This window comes from Homo sapiens, chromosome 2, assembly GCF_000001405.40.
Source record: "Homo sapiens chromosome 2, GRCh38.p14 Primary Assembly".
NCBI classification, from domain to species: domain Eukaryota; kingdom Metazoa; phylum Chordata; class Mammalia; order Primates; family Hominidae; genus Homo; species Homo sapiens.
The window spans coordinates 71,727,983-71,744,092 of NC_000002.12; the positions used below are offsets into that span (position 1 = coordinate 71,727,983).

Here is a 16,110-nt window from a genome sequence, read left to right on the forward strand (position 1 = left end):
GCCATGCTCAGATGTTTTGCAACATAAACCATAAATAAAATGCACCATAGTTAAATAAGGTTGGGGAATGCTGTATGCTTTGTCCCCCTTTTGTACATTGGTTCTCTTTACATCAGGAAGCTCTCTGGTGACAACACTGCAATCCTCAATATAGGGCTTCCAAAGTCACCCCGGGTGTCAACATCCTAGTCAATGGGAGGAAAAAGAACAAGGAATGGCCCATGGGAGGTTATTAATAGGCCAGGCCAGGAAGTGGTGCACATCACTTCTACTCAGATATCACTGGAGATAACTTAGTCACATAGATGCACCTAATGACAAGGGAGGCTGGGAAGTATAGTCTGAATGTTTGCCCAAATCCAGAGAGATGAGATTTTGGAGGACATGTAACAGTTGCTTCATGAGAACTCACTTCAAATCTTTGAAGGACTTGAATGTGAACAAGGGCCAAAACTTTCTGAGTATTGCTTCAGAAGAGAGAAACATACAAAGAGGCAGGCGTTGGCTCAATGAATGGAAGGAAGGACTTTCTTGACCGTTTTATCAGAATCGCAAATTATCAGGATTAGGAATGACCTGGGAGTTCAACCCACCTCTGAGGCTTGAACCCCGCTTCTAAGAACTCTGTTTAGAAACCTCCAGCAGTGGAGCACTCTCCATGTATGGAGCAACCTCTTCCATTTCCTAAAAGTTCTGATGGCCTAATTCACACGGAATTGCACGGCAGCCTTTACTTATGCTCCGGGGGGTGATGTTTTAGGGGTTAGATCCCTGCAAGTGCAGCTTAGGTGATAGCGTCAAGAGTGATCTCTAGACCTTACTGTTCTGAAAAGTATTTTAGTCTGCTGCTCATTCTCACTGGCTGTGTTTCTTTGCAGACCCGGCCCTGCTGCTGTACTGCCCAGCCCAGCCCCTCTCCCCAGGTCCCAGGCATCCTTTTTTGGTCCCTTGGATTCTCTCCAAAATCTGTCAACTTTTTGTTTTTCTATGCTGGGCAATTTATTTCACTTTGCCTTCCGTCTCTCTTCCGAGGCCGGCTTTGCCACCATGTGGTCCTCCGAGGTGCTTAGTTTAACACTAAGGTATCTACTTAAAAGAGGCATTATATCATAGGAAATGGAATTACTGCAGTTAGGGTGTTAAATGACTTTTGGCTCCCACCCCTCTCCCCATTCATCTAGTTTTTCATTTAGCACCTTATTTATTGAGCACTTACTGTATGCTGGGCAATAGTAGGTAAAATATTTAGCACACATCAAGGCTTCAGTGACTGGTAACTCATTTTTTTCCCTCTCTTCCCTTAGAAAATCCTCCCTGCTGGTGAAATGACACTTCCCACCTTGAAACCTCTAGTTCTGGGTGCTGAAAGAGAGCTGTCCAGCTGAAGGATTGGCTGCCCCTTGTCCCTCAGATTCCCACAATGGAGACTCTATAATGGGGAGGGGTCAGGCCCAAGTGTTCAAACTTCAGGGCCACTTTTGGCCTTTAACATTTCTGATTGACAATGGCAATAACCCTGACAATCTGGTATGCCCTGTAAGACAAGAAATCTAGTCTTTAAAACTGATAAACTCACAGGGTTCTGGGCAAAGTGATCCAGGGGTGTCTGGTTTAGCCCCCTAGGTGCCAGATCTGACAAGGTGTTCCTGTATCTTCCTTGTCTCTTGGCTTGGCTTTCGGAGATGCAATGGGGTGGCAATGGGCTGACTTCCTTCTGCAGCACCCTCTTGGGAAGCAGCATGAATTTGTTTAGACTAGAATGTCTTTAGCAGAACTGTTCTTCTACAAGGACCTGGCTCCCAGTTAGCCACCCAAATGGTCAGATGACTATAGCAGTCCCACTCCCCACCCAAGGACCCTTCTGCACAGTTATTTTCCCAGCCGTAGGATTGGGTCTTGTATTAGTCCATTCTCATGCTGCTATAAAGAACTGCCTGAGACTGGGTAATTCATAAATGAAAAAAGTGTAATTGACTTACAGTTCACAGGGCTGGAGAGGCCCCAGGAAACTTACAGTAATGGCAGAAGGGGAAGCAAACACGTGCTTCTTCACATGGTGGCAGGAAGGAGAAGTGCCGAGCAAAGGGGGAAAAGCCCCTTGTAAAACCATCAGATCTTGTGAGAACTCACTCACTATCACGAGAAGAGCATGGGGGTAACCATCCCCATGATTCAATTACCTTCCACCAGGTCCCTCTCACAACACATGGGGATTACGGGAACTACCATTCAAGATGAGATTTGGGTGGGGACACAGCCAAACCATGTCAGGTCTGCAGGTCTGCAGCACTTCCTAGAGCACCCTTCACATTGCAGTTGTAAATGGGCTTGTGCTCCTAGGGGAGCCAGGCTTAAAGGCTACAATGTGAATGGTGCCAGGGGGCACCATTGTTTTTTATTTGCATTAATGTTATGTTCTCTTTGAGTGCAAAGAACTTTGAGGTCTCAAAGCTCACCTCTGTGCTTTCAATAGATCCTCACTTTAAGGTCAGGTGGCATTTCCATTTAATAGAAAGAAAACTGAGGCTCTGAGAAAGAAAGTGGCTTCTCCAGGGTCACAGAGCTAAGAAGTGGTGGAGGAGGAGCTAGGGCCGTATCTCTGACTCTTAGCACAGTGCTCTGTCTGTAGCATAATGTGAAAGTTCCTTGTCTCCGACCATGATGCTCCCAGCCCCACCAGGCTCCTGCCACTAACCTCCTGTCTCCTATTCCGTTTGAGTCCAGGCCTCTCATTTCCAGAGCAAATCTGTGATAATAGTTTGGGCTGATGGGAGAGGACAGAGGTGCATGCTCTCCTCCAGGAAACACAAGTGTCTTTTCTTAGGGGCCTGATCATGGAGGACTCCATTGGTACCCTAATGGGAAGTGAAGAGGGAAGGTAGCACGCCTGCCTCTGGCCCAGGATAAAGCAAGGGAGGCAGAAGCAGTGCTGGGGTGGGGGCGTATCTCTGGCCCCCCACATCCCACATTCCACCTTGAGTCCACATCCAGCCCCCTTCTTGTCCTCTTCACTGTCTGTCACATGCTCCTGACATCTAGAAATCTGAGATGCCTGGAAAAGAGGGGAAGAGGCAGCAAGCACGATGAGCTCATCTGTGCCGGCCGGCGCCGGGCGCCCCTGCGGGACCCTTTTTCCATGTCGGGGTCCAGGCTCCTCGGGTGACGATGACTTCAGGGCTGGAGATTCCCCACTGGCCTCCCTGAGGGATGACTGCTGGCTTGTGGTGCATTCCAGCCATGTTCTCCTCAGCCCTGGCGACGTGAGAACCAGAGCCCATGACCCTCTGTCTCCCGGCTACTCTCCAGGGGAGCCTGGGGCCCAGCGTGTGGCTGGCCATCCAGGCGGCACCTACTCCTGACCCAGACTCTTCCAGTCCCCACTCTTCCTGTTCCAGGGATGGAAAGCCCAGGACCAAGAGATGGTCCTTCTTCTTCCTTTTGGTCTATCTTCCCCTTCAGCCTTCCTCCCTCCTCCCTTTACCCCCAGCCTGCCCCGAGCCCTTGGCCTTGCCTGCCCCATAGACTCAGCTCAAACAGAGCCAGTATCCTCAATGGTGATGACGTCCACGAATGCTGTGACTTGAGAGGGGCAGCTGTGTGACAGACCTTTCTGGAAACTTATCCTTTTCTTCCCAAACCCTTCATGAAGCACCTTACTCCAGGCCTTATCTAGATTCCCCTTCTGTCCAGTCCAAAGCAGCCATTGCCTTGGCAATGCTCTCCTTTCTCCTGGCCCCTTTCATGACCTTAGGGTGTTTCATGGGTCCCTGTGGCCTGGGATGTCCCTACCTATTGGCAGCACCCCTCATTGCCCCCTTCTTGGCTAACCCAGCCACACTGCTTTAGTCGAGGGCTTAATGTTTTCCACATCATTCCTGAAAAGGTGACTCCTTACCCCCTCTCTCCTACCCACACCTCATCTCCTGGCTCTCCATGCCTCTTGAAGTTGCTGTCCACCCTCGCTTCTCCACTCAACCTGCCATCCACAGTGTGGCTGACTCCACTCAGACTCAGGCCCCTCCACTCTAGTGGACTATGCTCACTGCAGTCACTAGTGCCTCATTGCCAAGTCCTCCTTTGACCTCTGCAAAGCCAATTACACGGACCACATCTTCTCCTTGGCCTCTCTGTTACCCCTCTGAACTGATGGAACCTCAAATACAATTAACCAAGACACAAATTCCTTCCATTCTTGAGTACAAGGCTAGGTGCATGGCTGGTGCGGTGGTTTGATGGTGTCAGGATCTATTCCTTCTACTCGTGCTGCCATCTTCAATGTGCTTTCATTTCTTGGCCTGGAATGGATGCTCCAGACCCTGTCATTGGGGAAAAAGAAGAGGAAGGGGATGCCAGCAGCTTCTCTTGAAAGACAGGACTTGGAGGCTGCAATGTCACATCAACTCCCTTCCCCCTGGCCAGAACACAAGCGCCTGGCCATGTCTCACCGAGGACGATACTCTCCAGGCAGGTGGACATGTACCTGGCTAAAAATCCTATTGCCTGTAAGGAGGGGAGAACAGATGCAGGGGCGGGGGTAGGGGAGGGAGGGTGCCTGTCCCTGATGGTTCCTTGTCAGTGTGTTTCATGGGCTGTTTTCCTCTGTCTGCCCCGTCAAGTGCTGCTGCTCCCAGTGTTCCTGTTTCAGGCCTACTCTCTTCTCTCTCTATGTGTTCCAAGTGGCTAACTTTAGTACAGATGTACCTCCTGACACAACACCCACAGTTTCACCTCACAATTGAGAAATTTCTTTTGGTGGTCCCACTAGCACCTCAAAATTGATATTCCCCAAACCTAACTCATTATTTGCTTCCTGAATCTCCTTTTCCTCCTGGGGCCTTTGCTCTTGTGTCTGGCACCCTCCCCTGGTCTCTCTCCATCATTCCCATGTAATCCATTCCTCAAGCTCCCTCAAAGCCTTTGATTCTCTCCATCTCCACTGCCTTGGTCTATGTCCTGTTCATTTCTCACCTGGCCTCGTAGCTGCCTGCTGGTTGTCCCCTTGACTTCTGTTTGCATTCACCTTGGGAGATCTATGATGCAGCCATACTCTTTCAAAATGTGCTTTCAATCAAGCCGTTGCCTACTTATAGACCTCCTTGGCTCTCACTGCTCACAGTGGACCTCCCGCTGGCTGCTCCTTCCCGTCCAACCCCTGGGCTCTGCCTCTTCTTCGTCGTGCTCTGCTGTTCCAAACAGCTTGGTGAGCTCTGAAAACTGCACATCCTTGTTTTCTGCCTGGGTTTCTGCATCGTCTCATTCTCCTTCTCCTCAACCACATGGCAAACATCCTCTCAGCCCTCAAGACTTGGCCTAAGTGTCAACCCCTCTGGGAAGCCCCTTCACTCCCCTTTCCATGAATTTTGGGGGGCTGCGGTTTATCTCTGATCCTTGGCCTGCATAGCACAACCTCTGTCCCATACCAGAATTATGATGATCCATTTATGAATCTGTCTCTCACCTGCCCAGGAGCTCTATGAGGGCAAAATCACATGCTTTCCCTCTCCCAGTCCTCAGCACCTGGCACGATGCTGGATGATAACAAGCATCCTCAAGGTGTTTGTTGAATGCATGACCATGTAGCAAGGACCATCGATTGGTCCTGGATTACAGGCATGAGCCACTGAGCCCAGCCTGATATACATGTATTTTAAACAAAAACTGAGAAATAGAATGAGGTACTAATGGTAACCATGTAAACCTGGCTCAGGAAATATCCATAGCGTCTCCTTGACTATATCATAAAGTCCATGCTGTTTTCCAAGGCATTTCAGTTGGAGACTGTATTAGTCCATTCTCATGCTGCTAACAAAGACATACCTGAGACTGAGTAAATTATAAAGGAAAGAGGTTTAATTGACTCACGGTTTAGTATGGCTGGGGAGGCCTCAGAAAACTTACATTCATGGTGGAAGGGGAAGCAAACACATCCTTCTTCACATGGCAGCAGCAAGGAGAAATGCTGACCAAAAGGGGGAAAAGCCCCTTAAAAAACCATCAGATCTTGCAAGAACTCACTGTCACAAGAACAGCGTGGGGGTAACCCCTGTGATTCAATTACCTCCCAGCACATCCCTCCCACATGGGGATTATGGGAACTACAATTCAAGATGAGATTTGGGTGGGGACACAGCCAAACCATATCAGGAACCATCAGGTTTTTCAGTTTCAACTCCCTCTTCATCACCTGCACATGCCGTTTCTTGCATTACCACCCACTCTTGGGCTCCAGTGTTTGTCATTTGCTCCTCTCAGCCTGGAGTGCCTTTGCCTCCTCCTTCACCTGTTGAACACCTGCTCATCCTTTGGACTAACTTTCATGCCACCTCCTTCGATCCGCCCAACTCAGTCACATAGTGTTCCCTCTGCACCCTGCTGCTCACATTGCCATATAGTTCTTATTGTCTGTCATCAGTGCAGTGCCTCACTGAGGTAGTAACATCCAGCATTCCTTCTTTCATGTGGCGTCCTCTCCCTTCCCTGATGCCCCCACCACTCACCTGGCTGAAGAGAGGGGACTGCCCTGGTCTTTGACAACCCTACCTTTATGATCGCAATTGATGGACTTTCTCAAGCTAAGCCAGTCATAACTCCTCCCCTTCGGGTTCTAGCTCATTGCTTCCAGACCAGCCATGTGTCCTTCAGGCCAATCAGACTCCTTCTCTGATATATATATGTTGTGTGTGTGTGTGTGTGTGTGTGTGCATGTGTGTGTATATACACACACACATATATATTTATTCCCTGATATATACACACATACATACATGCAATATATATATTTAAATATATTTATATAAAAAGTATATTTGTATATTTAAATATTTTTAAAAAATATATTTACATAAAAATATACTTAAATATTTCTTTAAATATTTAATTTAAAAATAAATATCTAAATATATATATATATTTTTTTTAAAGAGATAGGCTCTCATTCTGTCACCCAGCCTGGAGTGCAGTGGCACAATTATGGCTCACTGCAGCCTCAAACTCTTGGTCTTGAGCAATCCTCCCACCTCAGCCTCCTGAATAGCTGGGATCATAGGCACATGCCGCCATACCTGACTATTTTTTGTATTTTTTTAAAGAGATAGGGTCTCTCTATGTTGCCCAGTCCGGTGTTGAACTCTTGGGCTCCAGCGATCCTCCTGTCTCTGCCTCCTGAAGTGCTGGAGGCAGTGGCTGCTTTAGGCTGGACAAGGGTTGGAGTAGGGTGCTCCATGAAGGGTCTGGGAAGAAAAGGATAAGTAAAGTTTTCAGAAATTTCCATCAAACAGCTGTCCCTCTCAAGTTGCAGGTTTCATCGATGTCATCAGTGTTGGGGATGCTGGCTCTGTCTGAGCTTAGCCTTTGGGGAAAGCAAGACTAAGGGCTTGGGGCAGGCTGGGGATCCAGGGAGGAGGGAGGAAGGATAAAGGGGAAGATAGACCAAAAGGAAGAAGAAGGAAGGACCATTTCTTGGTCCTGGATTACAGGCATACACCACTGATCCCAGCCCGATATATATATATATATATTTATTTATATATATATAAATATATATATAAATATATATATAAATATATATAAATATATATATAAATATATATATATAAATATAAATAAATAAATATATAAATATATATAAATATATAAATATATAAAAATATAAATATATATAAATATAAATATATATAAATATGTATACATAAATATATATTTTATATATATATATATATATATATATATAAATAAAACAGAAACTGAGAAATAGAATGAGATCGAAATGGTAGGATATATAGCCAGGAAGCTATTGGAGGCCTTTTTATGTGTGTATGGGAAGGGAGCCATTGCTCAGTAAGAGAAGGAAGCTAACACCAAGAGAGTCATGGGGTTGGGTGAGAGAAAGAGTGGGAGAGTGTTCTGGAGCATTTGAAGGTTTCCTGAAGCCCAGCTGCATCCTGCTCTTGCCATGACATGGTTGGATTCTTTGAGTGGATGATATCCATCTCTTTTCCTAATCTGGTTCAAGTTGCACTCAAGAGTGCTAACTAGTACTTAAACCTATTTGGTTCTACTTAGTAGTGTAGCTATCTGAGTACAAAAAAGACTCCTCCGTTATTTTTCTCCAAGTCTGTAGAGGACACAGCCACATTGAGTGCACCCCATTACGGCAGGGTCCAGGTCTCTTCTCACCCAAGCACATAGCCCAGACCAGGGCTGATCCACCTTTGCTAATTCAATGACTAAATGCTCACACACAGGAAGATTGGGCTGCTGCCTGACCATGGCTTTATTCCCATTTTAAGCTGTGTAAACCCATCAACAATCAGCAAATTAATAGTCTGTGAACTGAGGTCACTCATGGTTTGTTTACTACAGCCACTATTTCCGTGGGCCAGGGAACCCTTTCCACAGGTGGTTTTTTGAGCCTGGGTTTAATTTATTCCTTTTCCCTTACCCCCCTAACTTGGGATAATTATTGCTTTTGTTTACAGTTGAGTTAAGTAAACTGACCACCATCTTCCCCAGCAGAAACCTCCATGCCTGCACAGTCCATTAACGCTGCCGCCGTGTGGCTGGAGATCAGCCAGGTTGTAGGACACCAAACATCTGGACACTGGAGAGGCTTCAAGGGCTTCTGCCAGAAGGAAGTGTCAGGGCTTGGGGAAAGGGACGCTACAGGAGACTTTCACCGCCAGTGACCCGAGACTGCCCGGCACTCAAACCAAAGCGTCTGTGAAGTACAGTGGTGAGGTCAGCCTGGGTGGATGTTCTGAAGCACGGGCCAGGCCTGGGAGAGGAGCGAGATGTTCCTCTGGGAGGAAACCATGGAGCAGGTCCATAGAACAGGATGGCAAAATGGTCGTGGCTGAACAGAGGGGGCTTTGATGGAGGAGAGGAAGGCACCATTCTCTGCTCACTGGGAGCATTGGGAGCCACTAGGATGGGGAAGTCCCTGAGGGGCCCTTTCTAGTGAAGGCAAGAAGGTGGAGCTACCTCACTGAAATTGGAGCTGCAGGGACTGAGTCCAGCATTCTCCAAGGACCCATTCCATCCAGGGACCCACAAATACTTAGTTGTTCTTGGTGTACAAAGACCAGCCACAGGCTCATCAGCGGGGTGTACTCAGCTGGGAGGAACAGCCATACTCTTTCATTCTGGCTCCCATGTGGCTCCCAGCACATGGGGAACTGTCTGGGCGGGGGCTACCAACCAGAGCTTGGCTGCCCCCCAGCCCTTGCCCTAATCCCTGACATCACCACCCCAGACATCTGGCTGTCAGGTCTAATTGAGCTCATGCGTGGAGGGAGCTGGCAGGACAGGAAGCCTCACTCCATGCACTTCCGTGCCCACCCAGCCAGTATCACTGAGAGACACTGCATCCCTCCTTGGACAAATCACTTAACCATACTGAGTCTTGACATCATCATACATTAAACAGAGATAATAATAGCACCTACTGGAAGGGTTGTCATAAGGATGAACAAAGATTGTGTGCTGGATGTATCTTGCATGCAGGAACTGGCATACAGTAAACACTGAGCTAATGACAGCTACTGCTAGTATTATGTGACAGAATGCTCCTCTTACTCCATGACACTAACATGCTGCATGACCTTGGGTTAGCCATGCTCTCTGAGCCTCAGTTTCCTCATCTGTAAAATGAGAGCATTTCTATCAAGTTTTTTTTTCTAAACCAACGTTTCATTATCTGTAAGTGAGGATAATATTATTTTCTCAATTATCTTATGGGCAGAGGGAAAGGAAGAGGCTCCATTGATGTATGGTCAATGTGATAAAGTTTTAAATAGTATAAAAAACTGTTTTAATTCAATGGATAATGATGCTGAGCAATAATTATAGGTGCTAATTAATGCTCGTGGTCAGGGTGTCAATTAACAATGGGGATACGTTCTCAGAAATGCATTGTTAGGCCATTTCATTGTTGTGTGAACATCATAGGGTGTACTTCCCTAAACCTAAATGATAGAGCCTACTACCCACCTGGGCTGTATGACATAGTCCATTGCTTCTGGGCTACAAACCTGTACAGCATGTTGCTGTACATGGATACTGTAGGCAGTGGTAGTGCAATGGGAAATATTTGTGTATCTAAACAGAAAAGATGCAGTAAAAACATGGTATTATCATCTTATGGGACCATGTGGCATATGTGGTCCTTGTTAACGGAAATGTCACACTCCTCTTATGTTACGTCGTGCATGACTGTAGTTTTCTAACATGCTTCCATTCACTTGTTAAGGGTTGGAGGGGAGAATTTCCAGTGTATATGGCAAGGAGGAAGCTGGGCAGAGTGGTCCTGGGCAGAATGTAAATTATACAGGGATATGGCTGAACTGAAAACATTCAACCCACTTTGGGAGGTCTCCAAATCATTAGGTGTGTGGTTTGGACAAGCTCCCTGAGTAGTTCTGATGCTCTTGACTCGCGTCCCCTCCTTCTTCTTGGTTATTTCTTACTTTAGCTCAAGGCCTTTAGGCTTGTTATAAAGTCAACGCCCCAGAGATTCCATTAACAGCTGTTCTCAGATTCTCACACCTGTGTATGAAAGAGATTTCTGTAAGGGAAGAGTCTGGACTAAGGAAGGGTAGACTTGGAGTTGGATCAAAAGGGGACAGCTTCACAGAAGGGAGGACTGCAGGCAAATGCCAGTGGTCCTGGTGTGTCTTCTTTTTGTATTGGCTGGGATGGTTTCAGATTCCATGTTCTCAAGAACCAGTACAGGGTCTACATTAGGGTATCTCAGCCTCTTTAATCCTGTACATCTCTTTCTGCCATCCACTGATTTACCCTTTTCTTGAAAGGAATTATTGCTAGCTTTTGCACCTCTCAAGAGGAGAGTGGTAAGCTTTACGTTCTATACCTTGTATTGTCAGAACAATACACGCGTCATTTTCTTTTTTTTTTTCTTTCCAACTTTTATTTTAAGTTCAGGGACACATGTGCAGGATGTGCAGGTTTGTTACATAGGTAAACGTGTGCCATGGTTGTTTGCTGCACAGATCATTCCATCACCTAGGTATTAAGCCCAGCATCCATTAGCTATTCTTTCCGATGCTCTTCCTCTTCCCACTCCACCCCCACCCTCTGACAGGCCCCAGAGTGTTGTTCCCCTTGAAGTGTTCATGTGTTCTCATCACTCAGCTCCCACTTATAAGTAAGAACATCCAGTATTTGGTTTTCTGTTCCTATATTAGTTTGCTGAAGATAATGGCTTCCAGCTCCATCCATGTCCTTGCAAAGGACATGATCTTGTTCCTTTTTATGGCTGCATAATATTCCATGATACATATGTACCACATTTTCTCTATCCAATCTGCATTGATGGGCATTTAGGTTGATTCCATGTCTTTTCTATTTTGAGTAGTGCTGCAATGAACATAAGGGTGCATGTATCTTTATAATAGGATAATTTATATTCCTTTGAGTATATACCTGGTAATGGGATTCCTGGGTCAAATGGTATTTCTGCCTCTAGGTCTTTGAGGAATCGCCACACTGTCTTCCACAATGGTTGACCTAATTTACACTCCCAACAGTGTAAAAGCATTCTTTTTTTCTGTACAACCTTGCTAGCATCTGTTGGTTTTTGACTTTTTGATAATAGCCATTCTGACTAGTGTGAGATGGTATCTCATTGTGGTATTTAACTGCATTTCTCTAACGATCAGTGATGTTGAGCTTTTTTTCATATGTTCGTTGACCATATGAATGTCTTCTTTTGAGAAGTATTTGTTCATATCCTTTGCCCACTTTTTAATGGTTTTTTTTTTGTAAATTGTTTGATGTTAGACCTTTGTCAGATGGATAGATTGCAAAATTTTTATCCCATTCTGTAGGTTGTCTGTTCACTCTGATGATAGTTTCTTTTGCTATGAAGAAGCTCTTTAGTTAAATTCGATCCTATTTGTCAATTTTTGCTTTGTTGCAATTGCTTTTGGCATTTTCATCATGAAATCTTTCCTGTGCCTATGTCCTGAATGGTATTGCTTGGATTTTCTTCTAGGGTTTTGATTCATCACATAAACAGAACTAAAGACAAAAACCACATGATTATTTCAATAGATGCAAAAAAGGCCTTTGGTAAAATTCAACATCCCTTCATATTAAAAACTCCCAATAAACTAGGTATTGAAGGAACAGACCTCAAAATAATAAAAGCCATATATGACAAACCCACAGCCAATATCATACTGAATGGGCAAAAGCTGGAAGCATTCCCCTTGAAAATAGGCATAAGGCAAGGATGCCATCTGTCACCACTCCTATTCAACATAGTATTGGAAGTTCTGGCCAGGGCAACCAGGTGAGAAAGAAATAAATGGTATTCACACAGGAAGAAAGGAAATCAAACTATCTTTGTTTGTAGATTACATGATCCTATATTTAGAAAATCCCATTGTCTCAGCCCAAAAGTTTCTTAAGCTGATAAACAACTTCAGCAAAGTCTCAGGATACAAAATCAATGTGCAGAAATCACTGGCATTCCTATACACCAACAACATGCAAGCCGAGAGCCAAATCATGAATGAACTCCCATTCATAATTGCCACACACACACCTAAGCACACAGCTAACAAGGGAAATGAAGGACCTTTTCAAAGAGAACTACAAAGCACTGCTCAAGGAAATCAGAGATGACACAAACAAATGGAAAAACATTTCATGCTCATGGATAGGAAGAATCAATATAGTGAAAATGGCCATACTGCCTAAAGCAATTTATAGATTCAATGATATTCACATTAAATGACCATTGACATTCTTCACGGAATTAGAAAAAAAGTATTTAAAAATTCATATGGAAGCAAAAAAGAGCCTGAGTAGCCAAGACAATCCTAAGCAGAAAGAACAAAGATGGAGGCATCATACTACCTGACTTCAAACTATACGACAAAGGTACGGTAACCAAAACAGCATGCTATTGGTACAAAAACAGACATATAGACCAATGGAACAGAATAGAGATCTCAGAAATAAGACTTCACACCTACAACCATCTGATCTTCGACAAACCTGACAAAAACAAGTAATGGGGAGAGGATTCCCTATTTAATAAATGGTGCTGAAAACACTCGCTAGCCATATGCAGAAAATTGAACCTGTACCTCTTCCTTACACCATATACAAAAATCAACTCAATATGGATTAAAGACTGAAATGTAAAATCCATTTTCAAACATAGCGCATCATGATGCTAGTTAAGTATCTTAGGTGGGATCCCTAGAAATAGTCACTGAGACAAGGATTTAAATGCAAGCAGGAAAGTAACCCCCAAAGCACCGGGGGGAGGGAAGAAGAGAGACAAAGAAGAGAAGAAGCCGATAAAAGGAGTATTATCAAGTAGCTATCAATGTGGGCAACTGGGGCTCCATCTATGGGAAACTATGGAAGACAGAGTTTTCCAAGCCAGGAGGAAGGAAGCTGGGATATTTATCTTCCATCTTCCCATCTTTCTTTTTCTGAGGGCTACCTCTGGGAGCATTAATTCTCCAGTGTTCTGGCTTGTCCCATGCACAAGCAGAGTCACAGGTTTGTATAGCAGGCAGTCTTTGGTCTGTGGAGGAAGTATTGAGGGGCTTTGGACAGGGGACCAAGAGAGCTTGCTGCAATATGATTTTACAAATAAGGTACATCCTCCACCCTTGCCCTAAACCTCACCAAGAGTCTGATGTGCAATCCAGAGTTAGGAATCACTGTGCTGGTGTGCTATGACAAGGTTTTTGGATAATGCTGGAGATGGTCATTATGAGATGAATAAAAAAAATTAATGAAGTGCCCTGTGGGAGACAGTTTTCCATGGGTCTGTCATGTTTCTGCACATCTTGCCAGGAAAAGCACAGGCTCCTTTTATTCCTGACTACCTTTTCAAGGTTGTTTGCTTAGTTAATAGTTTGAGAAGATAAAGGTATCTCCCTCTGGAGCAAAGGACACCTTTGTTTACTATCCAATATAATAAAGACAAGGCCTTCCTCTGGATCAAAATTTAGGCATTATTATGCCTATTATAAAAGATTCAGGATGCCTAAGCTAGAGATCCCTTCTCTCCTGTAATGCAACCCACTGTGTGTGCAGGCATCACCTGGCCTTCTTTACATTACCCTGTAGGAATTAGGATTCACGGGACTGGTGCCAATGTTGATTCTCTGGTTACTGCTTATTTTTGTGAGTAATGAACTATCCTTTGTCTCTGACCCAGGAGTCTTGTGTCTTCTGCCAGCATCCATGAAACAGTGGCAGCTAGCTTGCTGGCTTGCAAGAAGGACAGAATCTGAGCTCCTTCACAGTTCTTGACACCTCTTCCCTAATCCCCCACCCCAAAGTCCGTGGTCATCATGTAGTTGATGAAAAGAGACATGAGATTTCCTGCTCGGGAGCTCATAATCTACTTGAGGAAATAAGACAAATGAGTAGGAAATAAGAAATTATCTACAACACTGCCTGATGAATAACAGCATAGTCCTTGAGTAGAGGCTCTGAGAGTGGATGGGAGGGAGGGAAGGGTATTTTAGGTGTGAAGAAGATCTGGAGCAAAGCAGGGAGTAAACACAGGGTGTCCAGGACAGTCCTGGGCTAGGTGAGGGTTGGCCCTAACACAGAGAGTCAGGAGTGCCCAGTTGGGGAATGCAGACTGGGCTCTGTGGGTCATGGGGAGTTCTAGAAGCCCCTATATCGTGTTGCCTTTTTTTCTCATGTTCCACCCTTTTTCTTCTCTAGGACTCACTGACCTGACCCCTCCATCTCCCCAACTCACTGTGCCCCAAGGTATCTTGGAAAAATCCCCAAAGAAGATATGGCAGTTTTGTTTGTGTGGCCTGTGAGCTGGGATGGGAGCTGAGTCCAGAGTCCATAAGAGCCCCCACCCACTCTCCTGGGCAGCAACGAAAGACCACCAGGAATGTCCAACAGGGAATAGATTTATGGCCAAGCTAGGAGGAGCATCCCTGTGAAGACACCTACGGAGTCGTTTCGACAGGAGAATTTACAAGCGCCCTCCTTCGCTTGCTACTGAGTGGAAAAATACACTGAGCCCAGAGCAGTGAACTCCTTGCCAAGGCCTGTGACTCATCTCCAAGTCATAAATAACGGGTCCCTCATGACAAAGCAGAGAAGGGAGCCGGGCCCAGGGCCACGTATTTATTAGAAAAGAGAGTGGAACCATTAGTCGGGGGCTTGGTTTCCAGGAAACTCAAACCACACCACAGTAGAGAAGGTCAGGAGGCCCTTCCACAGGAATTCAGACCTGACATTTTTTTCATATTCTCAAACTTTCATGTGGGGAGGAGACCCCTGCTACATCCACCAGAGGCATCCCCTGGCCACCCAGTTCCATGGGCCAGGAGGAGTCTTGCTGTTTCCCAGGCCCTGGGGGCCACTCCACCATCCCCTGCCCCTGATACTTTTGATGGCGACCAGGGGAGGCAGAACCGCCTGTCTCGGTGGCCCCACTGACATCAGGAAACGTTTAGTGCCTGAGAAGTGTGACCTCTGACGAGTTACGACTCCTCCTGAGGCCTCCATTTCACAAACCTTCCAGGACCGCTGTCAGAATGAGGTGGGGGAGTAGACTCAGGACCGTGCAAGCCCATGGGATGAGCTCACAGCCATGAGCGGCATGGTCTAAGGGAAGAAGGAAAGAGAAGAGAAGAGAAAAGTTGGCTCTGCTGGTCTCTCCCTCTGGGTTGTTCCCCTTGTCTCTGTGCTCTTCTCTGTCTCTGATTATAAAGGACTCAGAATCTAAAGGATAATAGATGCAGATGGATGGAACAATAAATCGTGTGGACTGTTGATAAAACCTTTGTGCTTGAAGAAAATACAACTGTGTGTGGTTCTGAGAAGGCTGAACTCATCATCTCCCCCTAAACCCACTCGTGTGTGGTCAACACCACCTCCCTAGTTGTTCAGGCCAGAAAAATGTGTGTCTAGGTTGATACCCCACATCACCCCTACTTCCTGCAGCAATGACCTTTGCTCTCCCCAACTTCTCTTCCTTGGTCCCCACCCCTCCCACCCCTGCCACCCCTCCCACCCCTGCCACCCCTGCCCTGGCTCAGGACACTGACATCCTTCACCCGATAGCATAGGTCTGAGCACATTGCACTCCCA

At 45.8% G+C, this 16,110-nt stretch overlaps 1 long non-coding RNA gene across 1 annotated transcript in view; it reads left to right on the forward strand.

Moving 5' to 3' along the window:
* LOC124907827 (uncharacterized) overlaps window positions 1–15,799 on the forward strand; it is a 47,724-nt gene extending 31,925 nt beyond the window's left edge. The window contains exon 2 of the long non-coding RNA XR_007086966.1: window positions 14,722–15,799. This is a non-coding gene — a long non-coding RNA (uncharacterized LOC124907827). The remainder of the gene's footprint in view (window positions 1–14,721) is intronic.
* Window positions 15,800–16,110: the final 311 nt, after the last annotated feature.